This window comes from Homo sapiens, chromosome 10 (assembly GCF_000001405.40).
Source record: "Homo sapiens chromosome 10, GRCh38.p14 Primary Assembly".
Taxonomy (NCBI): Eukaryota; Metazoa; Chordata; class Mammalia; order Primates; family Hominidae; genus Homo; species Homo sapiens.
The window spans coordinates 25,659,592-25,680,482 of record NC_000010.11 but is presented as its reverse complement, the minus strand read 5'-3'; the positions used below and the strand labels follow the sequence as shown (position 1 = coordinate 25,680,482).

General features: G+C 38.1%; 1 long non-coding RNA gene across 3 annotated transcripts in view; it reads right to left on the bottom strand.

Annotated features, from left to right (window-relative positions):
* LINC00836 (long intergenic non-protein coding RNA 836) overlaps positions 1-20,891 on the bottom strand; it is an 81,224-nt gene that overhangs the window by 52,453 nt on the left and 7,880 nt on the right. Inside the window, exon 3 of one of the 3 annotated variants that reach the window (NR_108069.1) lies at positions 12,153-12,267. The exons of the other annotated variants lie outside the window; for them this stretch is intronic. This is a non-coding gene — a long non-coding RNA (long intergenic non-protein coding RNA 836). The remainder of the gene's footprint in view (positions 1-12,152; positions 12,268-20,891) is intronic. 3 annotated transcript variants of the gene reach the window in all.

The window sequence follows — 20,891 nt, the reverse complement described above, 5'->3', positions numbered from 1 at the left end:
GGGTTCACCTTCTATGTCTCAATTTTATCTCTTATTAACAGGAACAGCTGGATAGAGTACACAGATATGCTGCTGTGTGAGTCCCTGTGGAAAGGTACCTCCTGGGGATCACCAGCAGGAAAAGTCCCTCAAACACAGAAAGCTTGGAGGGGACTGATCCGACAGAGTCAAAGACACTTAGGCTGTTTCATGTTCAAACATTAGAGAATTTTTATAAAATCATATAGCAGAATTTAAGAATTTCTTAGAAAATAGATGGGATAGATACCAAACACCAAAATCCGATCACATTTATTATGACTTTTTCGTGCTTATTTCTCTCCTCTTTTCACTTACCAGTGAATAGCCACATAATTATCCTACTAAACCAATCCATAAGGCTTCCTGGGATTCAGCCCAGGGTTTTTAGCTCTAGGAAGCCTTCCTTTCAATTCTGACAAAGTGGTCATACCTCTTGGTGTTTTCATCGCTATTCAAATACACAGTATTGAAAACACAGATTGATATCCTGCCAGCCTCTCATTTGATCACCCCAAGGTGAACAGATTTATGAGCTGTGACTATAAGATAATGAGGACGCTTTTTATAAACTCTCTCTTAGAGTGATACCAACAGGGGCACCAACTATACTTTGAATAATAACCTCATCTTGAGAATAAATGTACAGGCTCCCACAGAGTCTATCTTGAAGGAAAAATTCATTTGTTTGCTTAAGTTGTGGTCTGTATACTCATATGTCAATTTTATTTCTCTAAATTTACAAATTTCTGGACCTTGATGAGCATAGATATCTTTGGGGAAATGAATACTACATATTGCATTTGAAAGACTTTGTAAGTTAGAGTTCAACTTCTCTTTGCAGAAAGTTTCTCATGTAATTAAATGCAGCGCATGAGGATTTTAGCCCTCTACACTAACTACAGTAGCTAAAACTAGAGTGTTAGAAATGGTACTTTTACGAGGCTCTTAAATGCAGGTACAACATTCAGAGTTTAGGAGCTGTCTTTGGAGCCGGGCACCCCTAGACTGGAGTGGAGCCATTCACCAGCATTGGCAGGACCAACCAGAGTTTAGGATTGCTTGTCTCCAGAGTTGATGATTTTTACCATTTCTGGCTTCCAAATAATGGCATTTCATATGATTCAACTTAATTTTAAGCTTCACTGCCTTAAGCTTATGCCTGTAATTATAACCATGAACCAATATTTAATTTTTGTAGGCAGGTTACTGTAGTTAGTGTAGTACTACAGAACAGAAGACATATCCATGATTTAAAAGTTCAGGAGCACACTGTATGTTTTTGAGTCATTAGTAAATGTCATAAAGTACAAATATCAAAGCTCAGGTCCAAAGTAACTTACATGTTCTGTAAAGGTCTGAGCAATGTGGATACATGATAATTTCCCTACCATAAAAAAACCCAAGAATTTTTCTCTCTGACCCCTCCTCCACACAGTGTTAAACTGGAGGCTGATGTTCATTTGACAATGAGCATGAAAGTGAAATGATGACTCCCAGATATAATTACAGAGAGTTACACACGACATGGTAAATGCCTTTCAAAACCATTTGGTCTGCAGAAATTCTATTTGGCTTACAGTGAGACGTCAATCCCATCAATTTTTATCTGTTGTTTATTTAAGTCTTCTTTACCCCACAAATTTTGTTTTGTTGAGTCATCTCCCAAAGCTGAGTGGAAATCAACTACCACCCAGGGAAAATATACTCAGATATCTCATGAATTTGCTTTGTTATACAGGCATCTTAAGGACAAACAGAAAGGAGAAGTCAATTGCAACTGGGCTCAGATTGAGTAATTGGTTTTAATTTTATTTATGCTCCAAGGAAACAACTTCATTTAAAAAACATGAGATCTTTTAGATTGTGTGGTACACTTTAATTTACTTCTAGTGAGATGATCATTTTTTTCCCAAATTAAAAAGACAACTTTTTACTTTTGTTATTGATCTCTGTACATGTGAATTGACTGGGTAACAAAGATAATTTTGAATCTCAAAATTTACTCTAATGCTTTCCAAACTTTTATTTTATTTATTTATTTATTTATTTATTTATTTATTTGAGACAGGCTCTTGTGCAGTGACATGATCATAGCTCTCTGTAGCATTGAACTCCTGGGCTCAAGCTATCCTCCCACCTAAGCCTCCCAAGTAGCTAAGACCAAAGGCATGCACCACCATGCCTGGCTAGGTTTTTATTTTTATTTTTATTTTTAATAGAGATGGGGTCTCCCTATGTTGCCCAGGCTGGTCTTGAATTCCTGGGCTCAAGCAATTCGCCTGTCTCAGCCTCCCAAAGTGCTGGATTATAGGCGTGAACCACTGTGCCAGCCACTCACCAAACTTTCTTAATGCACTGGAGAAATTCTTTAATAGATCACAGCATAATGTATACTTGGGATGAAATAATTATCAATGAGACCATTAACATTTCAAACAGTATTCTTGATAAAAGCACTTTTGGCGGCCTCTTTTTTTGGTCAGATTGATTATATGAAGATTGCTTTTATTGAAGATGTGGTTGGCAGAGGGATCGTGCAAAAACAAAGACAAATGGTAATGTCATTTTCTTCTTCACTTTTGCTGAAATTGTTAGCATTGTCATGGATGTATACATTTTTAGCAAAAATCTTTTCAAGTCAATTGTTTCTTTTGTAATGATCTATAATTAGATAAATATAATCCATAAATTCATTTCATTCAGCATGAATGCAAATTGCAATGCATCACTGTGCACTGAAAGATCACTGGGGCAGGGACCACCATCAGCTCCTACTTGTGAGATTCCCTTTCCTACTTTATAGGAAATTCCTGGAAATCCCTAGAAGATATCTAAATCATAGACTAATGAAGGCCCCAGCATCAGCTACTATTTTAAATACTGTAAAATAAATTTTCTATTTTCTGATAAAGAAAGCTGATAGAAGTAGAATACCAACATTTCTTCCTAAACTCAAATGAATGGTCCTATTAGATGACCAGCTCTCAAATGGTGATACCATGAGCCAATGGCATCAGAATTATTAGCAATAATTATTTTAAATGTAGATTTCCAGGATCTACTCTGGATGCATTTTTTTCAAGTCTTTTAATGAGCAATCCAACGAGTAATCGTCATTTAATAATAATACATACCGATCATATATTGTTTGACAGACACTTTTCTAAAGCTTTATGTGTATTAACTAATTTTTTTTCTTTTTTGGGGACAGGGTTGCCGAGGCTGGAGTGTAATGGTGCCATCAGGGCTCACTGTAGCCTCAACCTGCAGGGCTCAGGTAATTCTCTGGCCCCAGCCTTCTGAGTAGCTGGAACTAAAGGTGCATGCCACCATACCCGGCTAATTTTTGTATTTTTGTTGTTGTTGTAGAGATGGGGTTTCACCATGTTGCCCAGGCTGATCTTGAAGTCCTGGGCTCAAGTGATTTGCTCCCCTTGGCCTCCCAAAGTGTTGGAATTACAGGTGTAGGCCACCATGCCCAGCCTTGTATTAACTAATTTAATGTTTAGATCAACATTATGAGATATATACTGTTATTATGCCAGTTTCACAAGTGGAGAAATGGAGGCACAGAGAGGTTAAGTAACTTGTCCAAGGCTACATGCTATGAACTGGCTGTGAAGTTAATTTTCGTATTAACTTAACCAGGTCATGCAGTGCCCAGATTAAGCCTTATTTCTGGGTGTGTCTGTGGGGGTGCTCCAGATGAGATTAGCAGTAGCATCAGTGGACTCAGTAAAGCAGATGGCTCTGCCCAAGGCAGGTGGGCGCCATCCAGTCCACTGAGGGCCCAAAGAGCACAAAAGGCAGAGGGAGGAATAACTTGCCCCCTTTTATTTCTGCCTCACTATCTGAGCTGAGACATCTCATTCCACCTTTCCTGCCCTTAGACTGGGCTTAGCAGCAGTGGCTCCCCTGGCGCTTTGAACTGGGACTTAATTACACCACTGACTCTCCTGGATCTCCAGCTTGCAGACGGCAGATCATGGGATTCTAGGGCTCCATAATCATGCAGGCTGATTCCTCCTCATAAATCTCTCTCTCTCTATTAAACCGAATTACAGTTTTTGCCCTTAAAAGTAAAGGCAAAAATTGCAATTACTTTTGTACCAACCTAATATACATACATGCATGCACACATAGATAAATAGATGTGTGGGTAAGTCCTGTTGGTTCTGTTCTTTTAGAAAACTCCAACTAATACACTAGCAGAATGGGTTCAAAACACTCTTAGATAAATGAGTTCTCTAGATGATTCTTATGTGCACATTAGGTTTAAAACCACTGATTTACACTGTATTCTGAACGCCTTAAAACTGATACATAGGCCAGGTGCAGTGGCTTACACCTGTAATCCTAGAACTTTGGGACGCAAAGGCAGGTGGATTGCTTGAGTTCAAGAGTTTGAGACCAGCCTGGGCAACATGGAGAGACCCCATTACTACAAAAATATAAAAATTAGCCCAGCATGGTGGTGTGCATCTGTAATCCCAGCTACTCAAGAGGCTAAGGCAGGAGAATAGCTTGAACCCAGGAAGTGGAGGTTGCAGTGAGACGAGGTTGCACCACTGCACTCCAGCCTGGGTGACAGAGAGAGATTGTCTCTCAAAAATAAATAAATAAAATAAAATAAAAATAAATAAAAATTGAAAATAAAATAAAATAAAATTGAATATATATAAAGAACATTCTTGATTTCTTGTTTCTGGGTCAAGTTATTTGTAAGACCACAATAATATATAATTATTAAACTGAATACAGATTAGTCCCTATGTTCCATGAAAGAGAAAACAAAATATGCCAAAAGTACATGCAGTGTTTGATATATTCATTTAGTTAATATATACATAATGTCAATAGGTATGATCATAATTGCAGTTTTGGGGTTTTTTCCCATATAAGTTCTTTAACATAAAAGAGGTCACACTGCTGTCTGAACCCACGTGTCATTTATTAGCAAGACGAATTGAGAACAAATGCTTCTCGAGCAATGTCCCTGGATCGCAGAAACAGAAGGAAGGAAGCAACCCCGTTTTGGGATGTTCTGTGCAGGTGGGGTCTATTTTTAGTCTCTCCAGCTATATGTGTCAGGTGGGAGTGTACAAGGCAGTAGAATCGCTTAGCAGTGCATAAAGGCAAAGTGCCCCATTAAAACCGGGGCAGCAATTAAAGCACAAAGCTGTTGTCCCAAGGCTCCCAACTCAGCCAGGCTCTCTGTTTGGGTCTCACCTGAAGGTATGTCAGGGCTGGGTGCATGGGTGAGATACAGTCACTGATGTAGCTGCTCCCATGTAACCAAACATCTCGGTTAGTAGCTCTAAAGTGCTACAGCATCAGCACCGAAGCATGTTAAGAATACAAACCCTTAGGACCCACTTTCAGAAATTCTGTTCAATGGAATCAGCATTTTAGCAAGGATTCCAGGTGATCCCAGTGCAGGTGGAATGATCACTACTCATTGAGAAACACTGGTAGAGAAAAGGGTTGTTTATCACTAGAATGGATACAATTTGAACAGAAGATATAATTTTTATTTATTTTTTTACTTTTATTTTTGAAACAGAGTCTCACTCGGTCACCCAGGCTGGAGTGCAGTGGCGTGATCTCAGCTCACTGCAACCTCTGCCTTCTGGGTTCAAGCGATTCTTGTGTCTCAGCCTTCCAAGTAGCTGGGATTACAGGTGCACACCACCACGCCCAGCTAATTTTTGTATTTTTAGTAGAGTTGGGGTTTCACATGTTGGCCAGGCTGGTCTCGAACTCCTGACCTCAAGTGATCCTCCTGCTTCGGCCTTCCAATGTGCTGGGATTACAGGTGCACACCACTACACTCGGCTAATTTTTGTATTTTTTGTAGAGATGTGGTTTCATCATGTTGGCCAGTCTGGTCTTGAACTCCTGACCTCAAGTGATCCACCTGCCTCAGCCTCCCAAAGTGCTGGGGTTACAGACGTGAGCCACTGCACCTGGCCAGATATAATTTTTAATCATGGAAAATATCGGTTACCTAGAACAGCACAGAGATGGAGTACAAAAACTGGAGGAAATAAATAACTGGGCATGGTGACAGTATAGTCCTAGGTATTTGGGAGGCTGAGGTGGGAGGATCCCTTGAGATCAGGAATTTGAGGCTACAGTGAGCTATCAGGGAACCTGCCCCAATAGTCACGTAGGTTCTTTTCTATTTTCCCTAAGCATCGGCCAGTTTGAGAAATAAAGGGACAGAGTACAGAAGAGAGAAATTTTAAAGCTGGGCGTCCGGGGGAGACATCACATGTTGGTAGGTTCCGTGATGCCCCACAAGCTGTAAAACCAGCAAGTTTTTATTAGGGAGTTTCAAAAGGGGAGGGACTATATGAATAGGGTGTGGGTCACAGACATGAAGTGCTTCACAAGGTAATAGAATATCACAGGGCAAATGGAGGCAGGTCGAGACCACAGGACCACAGGACTGAGGCGAAATTAAAATTGCTAATGAAGTTTCGGGCACCATTGTCATTGATAACATCTTATCAAGAGACAGGGTTTTGAGAGCAACCTGTCTGACCAAAATTTATTAGGCGGGAATTTCCCCTTCCTAATAAACCTGGGAGCGCTATGGGAGACTGGGGTCTATTTCACCCCAACAGTCTACAGACCATAAAAAACGACCACACCCAGGGGGGCCATTTATAGACCTATACCCCCAGGTGCGTATTGTCTTTCCCAGGGATGTTCCCAGCTGAGAAAAAGAATTCAGTGATATTTCTCCCATTTGCTTTTGAAAGAAGAGAAATATGGCTCTGTTCCGCCCGGCTCACCGGCAGTCAGAGTTTAAGGTTATCTCTCTTGTTCCCTGAACATTGCTGTTATCCTGTTCTTTTTTCAAGGTGCCCAGATTTCATATTTGTTCAAACACACATGCTGTACAATTTGTGCAGTTAACGCAATTACCCCATGGTCCTGAGGCAACATACATCTTCCTCAGCTGATAGGATTAAGAGATTAAAGTAAAGACAGGCATAGGAAATCACAAGGGTATTGATTGGGGAAGTGATAAGTGTCCATGAAATCTTTACAATTTATGTTTAGAAAGTGCAGTAAAGACAGGCATAAGAAATTATAAAAGTATTAATTTGGGGAACTAATAAATGTCCATAAAATCTTTACAATCCATGTTCTTCTGCCATGGCTTCAGCCAGTCCCTCTGTTTGGGGTCCCTGATTTCCTGCAACAGTGAGCTATGACTGTACCACTGCACTCCAGCCTGGGCAACAGAGCAAGATTCTGTCTCTGAAAAAAAAAAAAAAATAGAGGGAAAGAGAAGAAAACAAAGACTGAGGAAAACAGTAACTGCAAGGAGAGGAATAAGGTTCTTATTTTCTGCCTCTTTTCTTCAGCTGGAATCACAGAAGTGAATGAGTACAGACATTTGATATTACCCCGGTAGTGTGGATGCCTTTTGATGGCTAAAGAAATTGGCCAGGCTGTTTCAGTATCCTTGAGGGTGTCACTTTAGGGCCATGTCTTGATCACTATTCAGGGCCACATGGAGGTTGCACTTGGAAACAGCAGGAACAACCAGGGGTCTTGGGAGGCTGACTTTGTAGTAGTAAGAGGGTGGGGTGCCCTTCGTTCTTGCATGAGGATGTGATCAGCCTGCAAATAACTCCATTAACTGGCAGAGAAGGGAAACCTGCTACTCAGGGATAAGCAAGAACTTATCCCTGGTCCTGGTCTTCTCTATAAGGAGTGTTGTTTGGATGGAGGACCTTCTTTAGCGGGGCAGAGTAGGGAGAGGAACTTGCAGTTAGGCCATTAGAGGCCTTTTCACTTTCAGATGTCAGCAGAACACATCAAACTTGTTTCAGGCCTTTCACCAGAGGCCAGCTGCCTATTTGTTCATGTTCTATGAGCAAGGCTTGGGAGACAGATAGGATGCTGGTCCTTTCTGTTCAAAGTCCTGGTTAGGTGCCTCCATTTTTACACAATGTCCTATTATCAGATGTCATCACCTTTAAAGGCTATACTTTCACACATTTCTCACCCACACCTCCATTCCCAAGGAAAGTAATCTTGGCCTGTCAGCAGCTCAGATTTTCATCAAAAGTCTCCAAAGAAAGATCTGACATTTATGTAAAATTGAAAAATATGATTCAGCCAGAAATACTAGAATTTACCCCTGGATAAAACTGCAGCTAAGAGACCTGCAGAGTGAAACGACATTGTTTTGCCATCCTACACACTTGTAGTTTGGCAACAGGTCTCAGCTGACTTTCAGGGATACTAGAAGGAAAAAGCTCTCCACACTTTGTTGCTCTGCTTGTGGAAATCAATGGTTAAGAATGTCATCTACTGTGTCACTCAGTGCTCTATTTTAAATTTCATGTAAGAAATTTATTTCAAGCTTAAGTGTAAGGAAAAGATGTTCCTTTTGTTGATAAACTGGCATAACCTTTCTACAGATGCACTAAGACATCTGGAGATCTGTTCCAATCTTTCTTTATATGTATTGATTGATTATTTATTTACTTATTTTTAGAGACAGGGTCTTGCTTTGTCACCCAGAATGGAGTACAGCGTTGTGAACATAGCTCACTGCAGCCTTGAACTCCTGGGCTCAAGCTATCCGCCTACCTCAGCCTCCCTAGTAGCTGGGACTACAGGCATGTGCCACCACACTTGGATAATTTTTAATTATTTTTTGTAGAGACAGAGTCTTGCTTTGTTACCCAGGATGTCTTGAACCTCTGGGCTAAAGCTATCCTCCCACTTCAGCCTCCCAAGGTGTTGGAATTATTGGCATGAGGCTGTCCTTGTCCCAATCATTAACCTGACCCTATCTTTCTCTCTGTTGATAGTTTCCCTAACTCTGATTTTTTTAATGTATATAACTATGAATATTGTGTAATATTGCCTCAAATCTTTTGTGAAATTAGGTAGGTAGGTAGATAGGTAGATAGATGGAGACAGTAATTTTTTTTAATTAAGGAAGATGGATTACTTCCCCTTAGCATTTGTTCTGTTTATTATTTTCCTGCAAGCTGTGCATATTTAGACACCTATAATGCTACACTGTTCTTCATTGCAGTATTTCTTTGCCTGTTAACTTTATTTACATGTGTATTTTTTTACTGTTCAGCATTAAATGACTGCTACATTGTTTTAATCTTGGGTTTAGTGATGACCATGAGCAAGAGCTCCCATTCTTTGGTAAAAGATGTGAAAATATTTCACAAATGAGAAGGCACTGTGCAATTTTTTCACCAGGGGAATTTGCAGCAGTGCTCAACCTTGGTTGAACTCAAATTTCAAGCCTGGTGTTACGAGCAATAGCAGAGCTGTTCCCTGTCTGTGCATAATGTTTCATGACCTTGGTGTACATCTTCCTGAGACTCCTGAGACTCAACTTTGAACTGAAGTTTTTCTGGGGAGGATGCCCTCCAAATGATGGCTTTCATAGTGCACTAACTGCCCCTTTTCCTTAGAGTTTATCTATTGGTAATGTCACAAAGGATACATACTAAGTTTGGGGGGGGGTGTAAAGAGAGGGAGACATATTAATTTTAAGATTTTTAAAATCCTCTCCACTAACTCCTGCATGACAGCGCTCAAACAGAACATACTCGCTTGGGTATTCATCCCAACACACGCCCCATCTGTTGTCATGTCTCTAGGGCTGGATTAGATATATTGCATGATTAAATAAACAAATGAATTGCTTTAGAGCTGGAGCCCCATGTTAAACCCTCTTTATTTTATTTTATTCTTTTTTGGATTTTGACTGGATGACAACTGCAGTTTGTTGCCTTTTTTATGTTGTTTTCCTTTAGGCTGCTACTGTGAGATTTAAACTAATTGAGGTTTATACCAATACAGTTTACAATACTCTAATAAATCAGATGTTTACAGGCCAAATGAAGTTTTAAACCTTGGTAGCTTAGAAATAGGTATTTAAAAACGGCAAGTAGATCCATAATGGAGATGAAGGAGGCAAAGTACCCCAAAGATCAGATAATGTTCACAATATATAGTTTTTATGAGGATTAAATAAGATAAATAGTACAAAGCACATAGAACACTTTCTGGTACATAATAATATGAAGGTGAAATAAATGATAGCATAGTAGGCTGTCTTAGCTGAGCACAAACTGATATTCAGTTTGTTATTGGTGAAACAAGTGGATTTCGAGTGTAGGTACCACAGTTGAGTTCTACTGGAAATTTCTATAGTGAAATATTTACTAAATTAATTGCACATTAAAGAAAAGCTAAAGGCTGCAACTTGGAAATCAGTGACAATGCCAGGTAGTCAATGGACAGCAAGGATGTCTGAAGTGGACCATAGTGTGGAAGAATGCTTAAAAACACAAGCCTTCAAGGAAAATCAGCAGCTCTGGGCTTGGAGAAAATTTTTTAAAGCATAGACCTTTCTCCAAGGAGGAAGTAGTCTAATAAGAGAAGACAGATGATGGACAAACAAAAACTTGGATGCAATAAAGAATAAATGTAAGAGGTTCCACACTAGAAGGTGGGGAAGTAATTAGTGGGTAAGTTTGATTAGGGGAATTTCAAAATCATGGACCTTTCATGGAATTCTTTCTTGCTTTCAACTGTGTTGACCCATGCGTATAAGAAAAAGAGAATAGCCTTCTGAGTATGTTGTTTTAGACCTTGTATATCTTAACATGCTAACGGGCACAGCTGAGCTCCAAATGTATTTGCCTTAGTCAAAAATATATAGCTTTCACTGTGGTGTTTCCTGGGCAACTGTGTTCTGTTTTGATCTTTCCTTGACCCAAATTTATAGTCATTGAGTTTTAGAGCTTTATTGAACCTGAAGGTAAGCTTGTCTGATATCCCTATTTGGTTAAGAGAAAAACTTTTGGATAAAGTAGATTTGGATGAAAACCACTGGTTCATTGCTCAGAAACCTTAGACAAGTCAATTAAGTTCTTTTAGCCTTGACTGTACAACTAAATTAAAAAAATAAAATTACATTACTAGGTGCAGTCATTCTTATAAATGGATATTATTACTATTCTTTTTAGGGCCCAGGCAAACTAAGTGATTTTTTTCAAGGCCACACAGCTAGTTGTGGAATTCAGAGTCATATGAAGATTCTCAGACAGGCACTATTACCACTACATAATATTAGTTTTTGGATCCCCAAAAAGATTCTTTCATTTCTCAAAAAAAAAAAAAAAAAAAAAAAGGAAAAAGTAATCTCTCTTCTGGCTTTCATGCTATCTGAAATTTTTTTCTAAGCTCAATTGATGATTATTATTCTTGGATGTGTACTTCGGGAAAATCTACTTCAGAAGAAAAGCTACACTTTTGTGACAGAACAGAATAAAAAGTGTACTAGTACCTTGTAGGTGTACATTGTGAACTACTCAATATTCCAAAGAAACGAGAACAGTGAGAGAACGAGAGAGCAAGATGAGTGTGTGTGTGTGTGTGTGTGTGCATTTCCCCAATTTCTTGGGCTCCAACTCTGTGCTCAGACACTCTACTAGGTATTTACAAATGTTATCTAATTTAATCTTTACCATACTCTGAAAGATAGATACTGTATGGTTACAAAAACCTGAGGCTCAGAGAAGTTAAGTAATTCACCAAAGCCACAAAGCTTGAAAATGACAAAACCAAGACTTAAATCTGGTCTGTCTGTGCCCCAAACTTATAGTAATAATGAATGAATTACATTGCATTCCTCTATTGCGTATCTGAAATGAATACTAAACAGAAATTGGACTGGGGAAAGTCTCATTAATAGACCTATTGAACATGCAACTTTACATAAAGGAATAATGAAAACCACCAAGCAAGAATCAGATTTACTGACTATTTGTACACGTAATAACTTATTTAAACAAAGACAAATAACAATAACTTATTTATTTTTATTTAAATAATGTGTCTATTTGGACAAAAATGTATTAAATGGATCCTCCCACTTTGAGCATCCCCTCTTACTTGTCTGATTAGCAGAGCTGACTGCTGTGCTAGATCTGAACACAAAGTTGAGTACTGAGAAGGGAGAATTAAATGAGGAGAATGCTAGCTGTCCACCAAAATTCATCTCCCCTTCTTATATGTTAATGTAGCAATATCATGGCTATCCAATGAGATTATATGTTCTAGCCTACCTTGTAGTAGGTATGGCCACGTGACTACATTCTCACTAACAAAGGGTGAGCTTGGGACTTAATCCATGTGGATGTTCTCTTCTCCAATTTATTTTACCCCTTACAACTGGCTGTTCTGGAAGAGAAAGAAAAAGTGGCAGAACAACAAACATATGAAAAAAGGCTCAACTTCACTGATTAGAGAAATGCAAATCAAAATCACAATGAGATACCATCTCACACGAGTCAGAATGGCAGTTATTAAAAAGTCAAGAAACAACAGATGCTGACGAGGTTGCAGAGAAATCGGAATGCTTTTATACTGCTGGTGGGAGTATAAATTAGTTCAATCATTGTGGAAGACAGTGTGGCCATTCCCCAAAGATTTAGGACCAGAAATACCATTTGACCCAGCAATCCCATTACTGTGTGTATACACAAAGGAATATAAATCACTCTATTGTAAAGATACATGCACAGGTTTGTTCATTGCAGCACTATTCACAATAGCAAAGACATGGAATCAACCCAAATGCCCATTAATGATAGTCTGGGTAAAGAAAATGTGGTACATATATACCATGGAATTCTATGCAGTCATAAAAAAGGAATGAAATCATGTCCTTTGCAGGGACATGGATGGAGCTGGAAGCCATTACCCTCAGCTAACTAACACAAGAACAGAAAACCAAACACCACATGTTCTCACTTCTACGTGGGAAGTGAATCATGAGAACACATGGACGCAGGGAGGGGAACAACACACGGTAGGGCCTGTCAGGGATGAGGGTGAAGGAGAGCATTAGGAAAAATAGCAAATGCTTGCTGGGCTTAATACCTAGGTGATAGGTTGATAGGTGCAGCAAACCACCATGGCACACGTTTACCTATGTAACAAACCTGCACATCCTGCATTTGTACCGTGAAACTTAAAATTATAAAAAAAAGAGAAAAAGAAACTACATAACTACTACCAAAAAAAGTGGCAGCAATCCACCTTTGACCATGTAGGGATTGTATCTAAGGGGTTATGACATGATGGCTTGAGAGGAGCCTTGGAAAGAGCTGCTTTGCTTACCATGCACTGCTAACCTTCAAACTGATAGCTGAGAGAGACATTTCCATATACTTCAAGGTGCTGTGTTTTATGGTCTCTCTCTCTCTCTCTCTTTTTTTTTTTTTTGGCAACTGTTTAGCTTTATCATAACTAAAACAGGGATAAAATAGTTGGGTAAGACTCCCTAGAGAAAGAGACTTGAGTTGGACCTTGAAATATTCATTGAAGATTAATCCAATGGAAAGCAAAAAGGCAAAGACAGAGAAGAAAAACTCTTCTTTATATGTCGAGTAGGAATTAGACATTCCCCTGTCCATTATAAAGTAGAACAATAAAATCTGTCCTTGGTGGGAGTCTCGCTTTATGACAAAATAAAATTGCTTAACAAAGTATAAAAAGATACTCTAAATGCAAATATACAATAGAACTACGTATCTTTAACTCTTATTAAAGTGTCTAGACCTGGTTCCCTGTACATTACAGGGAATTTTTAGTGGAAGTAATGGAGTTCTATTGGGGATTATATAAAATTGTAGGATAAAACCTACTTTAGTTCTATTGTACAGTTGAAAAAAGCACAAGCTATTACTATTTGACTATACTTGCCATATCCTCAATTATGTTACTCTATACATTTTATCTTTTTGAAAACAAATGTTTCACTCAAGTCATGATGGAGTAACTGGTACCAGATTTAATATCCTACCATAAACAACTAGAAAGCTGTTTTCAGACATTGGACCAAAAGCAGTATAACATGGATATCCTTGAAAGAAGAGAAACAAGAAAATGAACCTGACCGTCACCCTGGCTTTCTGCCTGGAGGCTTTTTCTGGGCAGCCATCCAGGCAGGAGAAACTTAAGGAGAACACGGTCTTTTCGAGTTGAGAAAATAGGGATCAGAGTCTGCAGGGGTTGAGGTGACTGGAATTTGCAGTGTGAAGAACCAGACAGGAAAAGGGTATGCAGAGAAAGAGTTGCATATATATGTATGGAGGTCACCTTAGTATTGTGGAGTACTAAATGACACATACAAAGGGTAACATTCCATGAGACTGAGAAAAGAATGGGATGGGACATGTATGCTAAATAATTCCCACAGTTCATACAGGGTGGGAGGAGATATTCAGCTTTCAACCAGTCAGAGTGAAGTGAACAACTGGAACATTCGGTAGAGTCCCTTGAGAGGTCATGGTTTAGTAGTAGAGTGAAATGATGCCTAGGGTAAAGGCAACATTATATCTGCCCCAATATAGTTTTAAAACAAGCCTCAAAATAATTCAGCATATCCCCAAGTAATTTTAGTGCATTTGAGAAAAAGTCCAACATTCTTTAAAGACAACAAAATCTAGCACTCAACATCATACTAATCACTAAGCTTAGCTTCCAATAAAAGTTTACTAGGCACATGAAGGAGCAATAAAATGTATTCATAATTTGCAGAAAATATGTCAATGATCCAGAAAAGACAATGATGATATTAACAGATGAGGACTTTAAAATATTTGTTGTAAATACGTTAAAAGACTTAAAGGAAAATATAAACATCATGAGATAATATATGGGAAATATATTTTTAAAGAAATTAATAAAATTTATAGAGCTGAAAAATACAATATTTGAAATGAAATTTTTACTGGATGCAATAAACAGCAGATTGAGCACTAAAAAAAAGCAGGCTGGGCATGGTGGCTCACGCCTATAATCCCAGCACTTTGGGAAGCCAAGGCGGGCAGATAACAAGGTCAGGAGATTGAGGTCATCCCAGTCAATATGGTGAAACTCCGTCTCTACTAAAATACAAAAAAAAAAAAAAAAAAAATTAGCTGGGTGTGGTGGCATGCACCTGTAGTCCCAGCTACTTGGGAGACTGAGGCAGGGGAATCGTTCGAACCCAGCAGGCGGAGGTTGTAGTGAGCCGAGATTGTGCCATTGCACTCCAGCCTGGCAACCGAGTGAGACTCCATCTCAAAATAATAATAATAATTATAATAACATAAATAATAAAAAAGTGAAGTTGAATACATAGCTTTAGAAACTATTCAAATGGAAATAAGAGAGGATAAAAAGAAACATAACAACTATCTCAGTTACTCGTGGGATAGTATCAAGCAGTGAAACACGTGCAACTTCAGCCCCATAAAATCGAGGTGTACAGAAAACATCTTTTTAAGTTACAGCCAAAAAAGTATAAATTTGATTAAAACTACAAAGCCACAGATTTAAGAAGCTCAACAAATTCCCAGCAGAATAAACACCCAAAGAAAACTAAACCATGGCATGCCACAAATTGTTTAAAAACACTGAGTAAGAGAAACCTGAAGAGCAGCCAGTTGCTGGGGTACAGGCATTGTGTACAGGGGAACAAAGATAAAAAGACTGTGGATATTTCCAAGCAAGCTAGAAGACGGTGGAACATATCTTTAAATGTTAAAACAAACAAAAATCATCAACCAAGAATTTCATATGCAGCAAAAATATCCTTCAAAACTGAAGACAAAATAAAGGATTTTTCAGATAAATAAGATGCTCAGATAATTCATTAGCAGAATATCCGCCCTCTAAGAGTTTCTTCAGGCAGAGGAAAATGATACCAGATGAAAATATTGAAAAGAGAAGAGTGTAAGAAATAATAAATATGTAGTCCATTTTTATTTCTTTTTATATTTTTAAAAATATCAAATATTTAAGGCAAAAATATCAAATATTTAAGGCAAAAATATTAACACTGTATTTATTATTAGGTTTATAACATATGTAGAAATAATATGTATAACAACACAATGGCCAGGGAGAATTGAATTATCATTAAAAGTAGACTCTAATAAGTTAAAGATGCATATGAGAAACCCTAAGGCAGCCATTTAAAAAATATCAAAAGAGTAAACCTAATAAACTAATACATGGATAAAATGGAATACTAAAGAAATATAATTAATCCAAAAGAAGGCAGCACATGAGAAAAGAAGGAAGGAAATACAGATGCTACAAATAGAAAACAAATGGTAAGATGATACATTCACCATATTGAGATCCTCACTAAATATACATGGTCTAAATATTTCTGTTAAAAGCACAGATTGTCAGTCTGGATAAAAAGGCAAGACCCAACTATAAACTATCTACAAAAAATATACTTTAAATTAAAAAGACACAGACAGGCTAAAAGTAAAAGGATGGAAAATATTTACCATGCAAATATCAGTGATAAGAAAGTGGGGGTGGCTATATTAATATCAGTCAAAGTAGACTTTGGGTCAATAAATACTGCCAGACATAAAAGGGACATTTTATACTGATAAAGGAGTTCATGCTTGAATAAAATATCATATTTCTAAATGTGTATGCATCTTGCCTAAAAATAGAGCTTCAAAATACATGGAAATAACTAAACAGAACTAAAAGGAGAAATAAATACACATAGGTAATTGTAAATTGCAACAAATCTCTTTATGTTATTCATTGAGCAGGCAGATAAAGAAAATCCATAAATGCTTAAAAGTCTAGAGCAAAATTGTCAATCAACTTAGCCTAACAAAAGTAGAATGTATATTTCTCAAAGTTAATATAGAATATTGGCTAGGATAAACTCTCTGTTGAGCTGTACAATAAATCTTGGCGTATATAAAAGGATTGAAGTCTTATAGAAAATATTCTTTGATCACAATGCAATTAACTATAAATTGGAAGCGGAAACATATCTTTCAGGTCTCTTAAATTTTGATATTAAACAACACACATTTAAATAGTCCATGGGTCAAAGAAGAAATAACAAGGGAAAATCAGAAAATAAATTTTAAACTGAAAAATGATAGAAAACTTAATGCATCAAAATTTGTAGGATGCAGGTAAAGCAGTATATAGAAGGAAATTTGTAACTTTTAAATGCTAAGTTAGAAAAAAAGAGCAGTCTCATGATTTAACCTCATATCTCAGGAATATAGAATAAAAGAGTGAAGTAAACCCCAAGTATATACAAGGAAAGAAAAAATAAAAATAAGAACAGAAAAATCAATGAAACAAAACATGAATAGATAAAATAAATGAAAGAAAAAGAAAAATCTATAAAATATTAATAAATACATTTCTAGCCAGAAAATTAAAAAGTGAAATTATATGAATTAGCAATATAATAAATGACAGAGAAGACATCACTACAGATCTTCTTTATGTTACATTAATTATTAATGATTTTATGCCAATAAGTTTGACATCTTCAATTAAATAAAAAATTCCTTTAAAAATTATCAAAATTTACATAAAAAGAAATAGAAAAACTTAATAGCCCTTACATATTAAAGAAATTAAATTTGAATTGAAAATGTTCCCACAAAGAAAATGTCAGACCCGGTTGGGATCATTGGTATATTCTATCAAATATTTAAGAAAATAATAATACCAATATTTTACAAGACGTTTTGTAAAATAGAAAAAAAGAATTATCCCAGCTTGATTCACAGGTCGACATTTCCAAAAATAGGCAAACATTGTGCAAGAAAACGAAATTACAGACCAATATCCCTCATTAACATACATGTAAAATTTCTTAACAAAATATTTAGCAAATTGAATCCAGTAGTATATAGAAAAATAACATGTTATAACCAAGTGGGTTTTATTCCAGGAATGAGAGGTCAATTTAGAGCTTGGAAACCAATGTAATTACCATATTAACAAAACAAAGGAGAAAAAATTACACACAATTATCTTCATATATGCAGAAAATTATCTGACAAAATTTAACACTAATTCTCTAAGAACTTTCAGAAAACTAAGAAGAGAAGGTGACTTTCACACTATGATAAAGGATAATGATAAAATCTCATAGTCATTATCATACTTAATGGTGAAAAACCAAGATGAGGAAGAAAAACAAAGATACCATTGTCACCATTTCAACACTTTACAAAAATCATAGTCAATGCAATAGGATCAAACTAAATAAAATGTGAGAGGAAGTAGAGCAAGATGCTAAATAGAAACCTTCACTGATTGTCCTCCCTGGAGAAACACCAAATTTAACAACAATCTACACAAAAAAACACTCTCATAAGAACCAAAAATCAGGCAAGCAATCACAGTACCTGATTTTAACTTCATATTACTGAAAGAGGCACTAAACAGGGTAGGAAAGACAGTCTTGTATTGCCAACACCAACCCTCCCTCATCTCCTGGCAGCAGCCACATGGCATAGAGGCAAAACTCTGTGCTTTGGGAAGGAGAGTGTAGTGACTGTGGGAGTTGGCATTAGAACTTAGTGCTGCCAACACCAGGCAGAACTCAGCCAATTAACATGGAAGGAAAATTTAGACCAGCTGTAGCCAGAGGGGAATTGCCCATTCCAGCAGTTGTAACTTGAAATACCACAAGCCTTGCCACCCTGGGTTTAAGTGCTCTGGGGTTCTAAATAAACTTGAAAGGCAGGCTAGGCCACAAGGACTGCAAATCCTAGGCAAGTCTTAGTGCTGAGCTGGGCTTGTAGCCAGTGGACGTGGGGGGCACGTGATTTAGCAAGACACCAGCCAGGGCGGCCAGGGAGTGTTTACACTGCCCATCCTCCAACCCCAAGCAGCACAGCTGACAGCTCCAAAAGAGATCCCTTCCTTCCACTTGAAGAGAGGACAAGGAAGAGTAAAGAAGACTTTGTCTTGCATCTTAGATAACAGCTCAGCCACAGTAGGATAGGTCACTGGACAGAGTCGTAAAGCCTCCCACCCAGGTCCTACCTCCTGGACAATATCTCTAGACACACACTCAGCCAGAAGATAGACTGCTGCCTTGAAGGGAAGGATCCGGTTCTGGAAGGATTCATCCTCTGCTGACTAAAGAGCCCTTGGGCCCTGAAAAATCAGCAGTGGTAACCAGGTAGTACATGCCATGGGCCTTGAGTGAGACTCTGAGATGTGCTGATTTCAGGTGTGACTTAGCATATTCACAGTTGTGGTGGTTATGAAGAGAGACTCCTTCTGCTTGAGAAAAAGCAGAGGGAAGAATAAAGGGGACTTTGCCTTGCAGCTTAGGTACCAGCTTGGACACAGTGAAAAAGAACACCAAGTAGACTCTTCGGGTTCCCAATTCCAGGCCTTGACTCTTGGATGGCATTTGTGGACCTACTCTGGGCCAGAAGAGAGCCCACTTCCCTGAAAGGTGAGTCTCAGGCCTGGCAGCATTCACCACAAGCTGACTGAAGAGCCCTCGGACCTTAAGTGAACATTAGTGGTACCCTGGCAGAAATCCCCATGAACTTGTGGTGGTGGACATGGGGAGAGATGCCTCTGTCTGGGGAAAGGGGAGGGAAGAGTGAGAAGGACTTTATCCTGTGATTTTGGTGCCAGCCTAGTCACAGTAAAATAGAGCACCAAGTACATTTCTGAAGTTTCAGTGGCTCCTGGATGGCATCTCTGGACCTGCCTGAGGCCTGGGGGGAACTTCCTGAAGGGAAGGACACAAGACTGCCTGGCTTCACCACCAAGTAGTGGTGACGGCAGGCTTTGGGAAAGACCCAGTGCTCTGCTAGTTTTAGGTCTGACCCAGCACAGTCTCAGTGGTGGTAGCCACAAGGGTGCTTGTGTTACCTCGCCCCCAGCTCACCAGAGAGCAGCTCACCAGAGAGAGAGAGAGAGAGAGAGTTTGTTTGGGAGAAAGTAAGAGAAGAATACAAGAGACTTTGCCTGGCAATCCAGATAATTTTTCTGGATCTTATCCAAAATTACCAAGTCCGTACCTCTAGGAGTCTGTAAGAATCACAGCATTACTGAGCTTGGAGTGCTCCCTAATGCACATACAGCTTCAGTGACCAAAAACTTGGATCACAACACTCAAGTCCCTTCAAATACCTGGAAAGCCTTCCCAAGAAGGACAGGCACAAACAAGCCCAGACTGTGAAGACTACAATAAATACTTAACTTTTCAATGCCCAGACATAGAGGAACATCCACAAACATTAAGACTATCCAGGGAAACATGACCTTACCAAATGAACTAAATAAGGCACCAGGGACCAATGCCAGAGAGACAGAGATATGTGACCTTTCAGACAGAGAATTCAAAATAGCGGTTTTGAAGAAACTCAAGGAAATTCAAGATAACAGAGAAGGAATTCAGAATTCTATTAAAGTTAATATAGACATTGAAATAATTTTAAAAAATGAAGCAGAAATTCTGGAGTTGAAAATGCAATTCACATACTGAAGAATGCATCAGTCTTAACAGCAGAACTGATCAGGCAGAAGAAATAATTAGTAAACTTGAAGACAGGCTATTTAAAAATACACAGAGGAGACAAAAAATATGAAAGAATGAAGCATGCCTACAAGATCTAGAAAATAGCCTAAAAGGGGCAAACCTAAGAATTATTGGCCTTAAAGAGGAAATTAATACATATCAGCAGAGAAAAACAGCTATATTTAAAGGAATACAGGAAGAAAGAAAAGAAGGAAAAAAAGGCCACAAAACAACAGAAAACAAATAATAAAATGGCAGGAGTAAATCCTTACTTGTCAATAATAAAACGGAATGTAAACAGACAAATCTCTCCAATCAAAAGACATAAAGTGGCTGAATGGATTTAAAATATAAGACAATGGTGTGTTGCTTACAGGAAAAATATATTTCATGCCATTGGAAACCAAAAAAGAGCAGGAGTAGCTATACATGTATCAGATAAAATAGACAAAATAGGTTTAAAGACTAATATGATAAG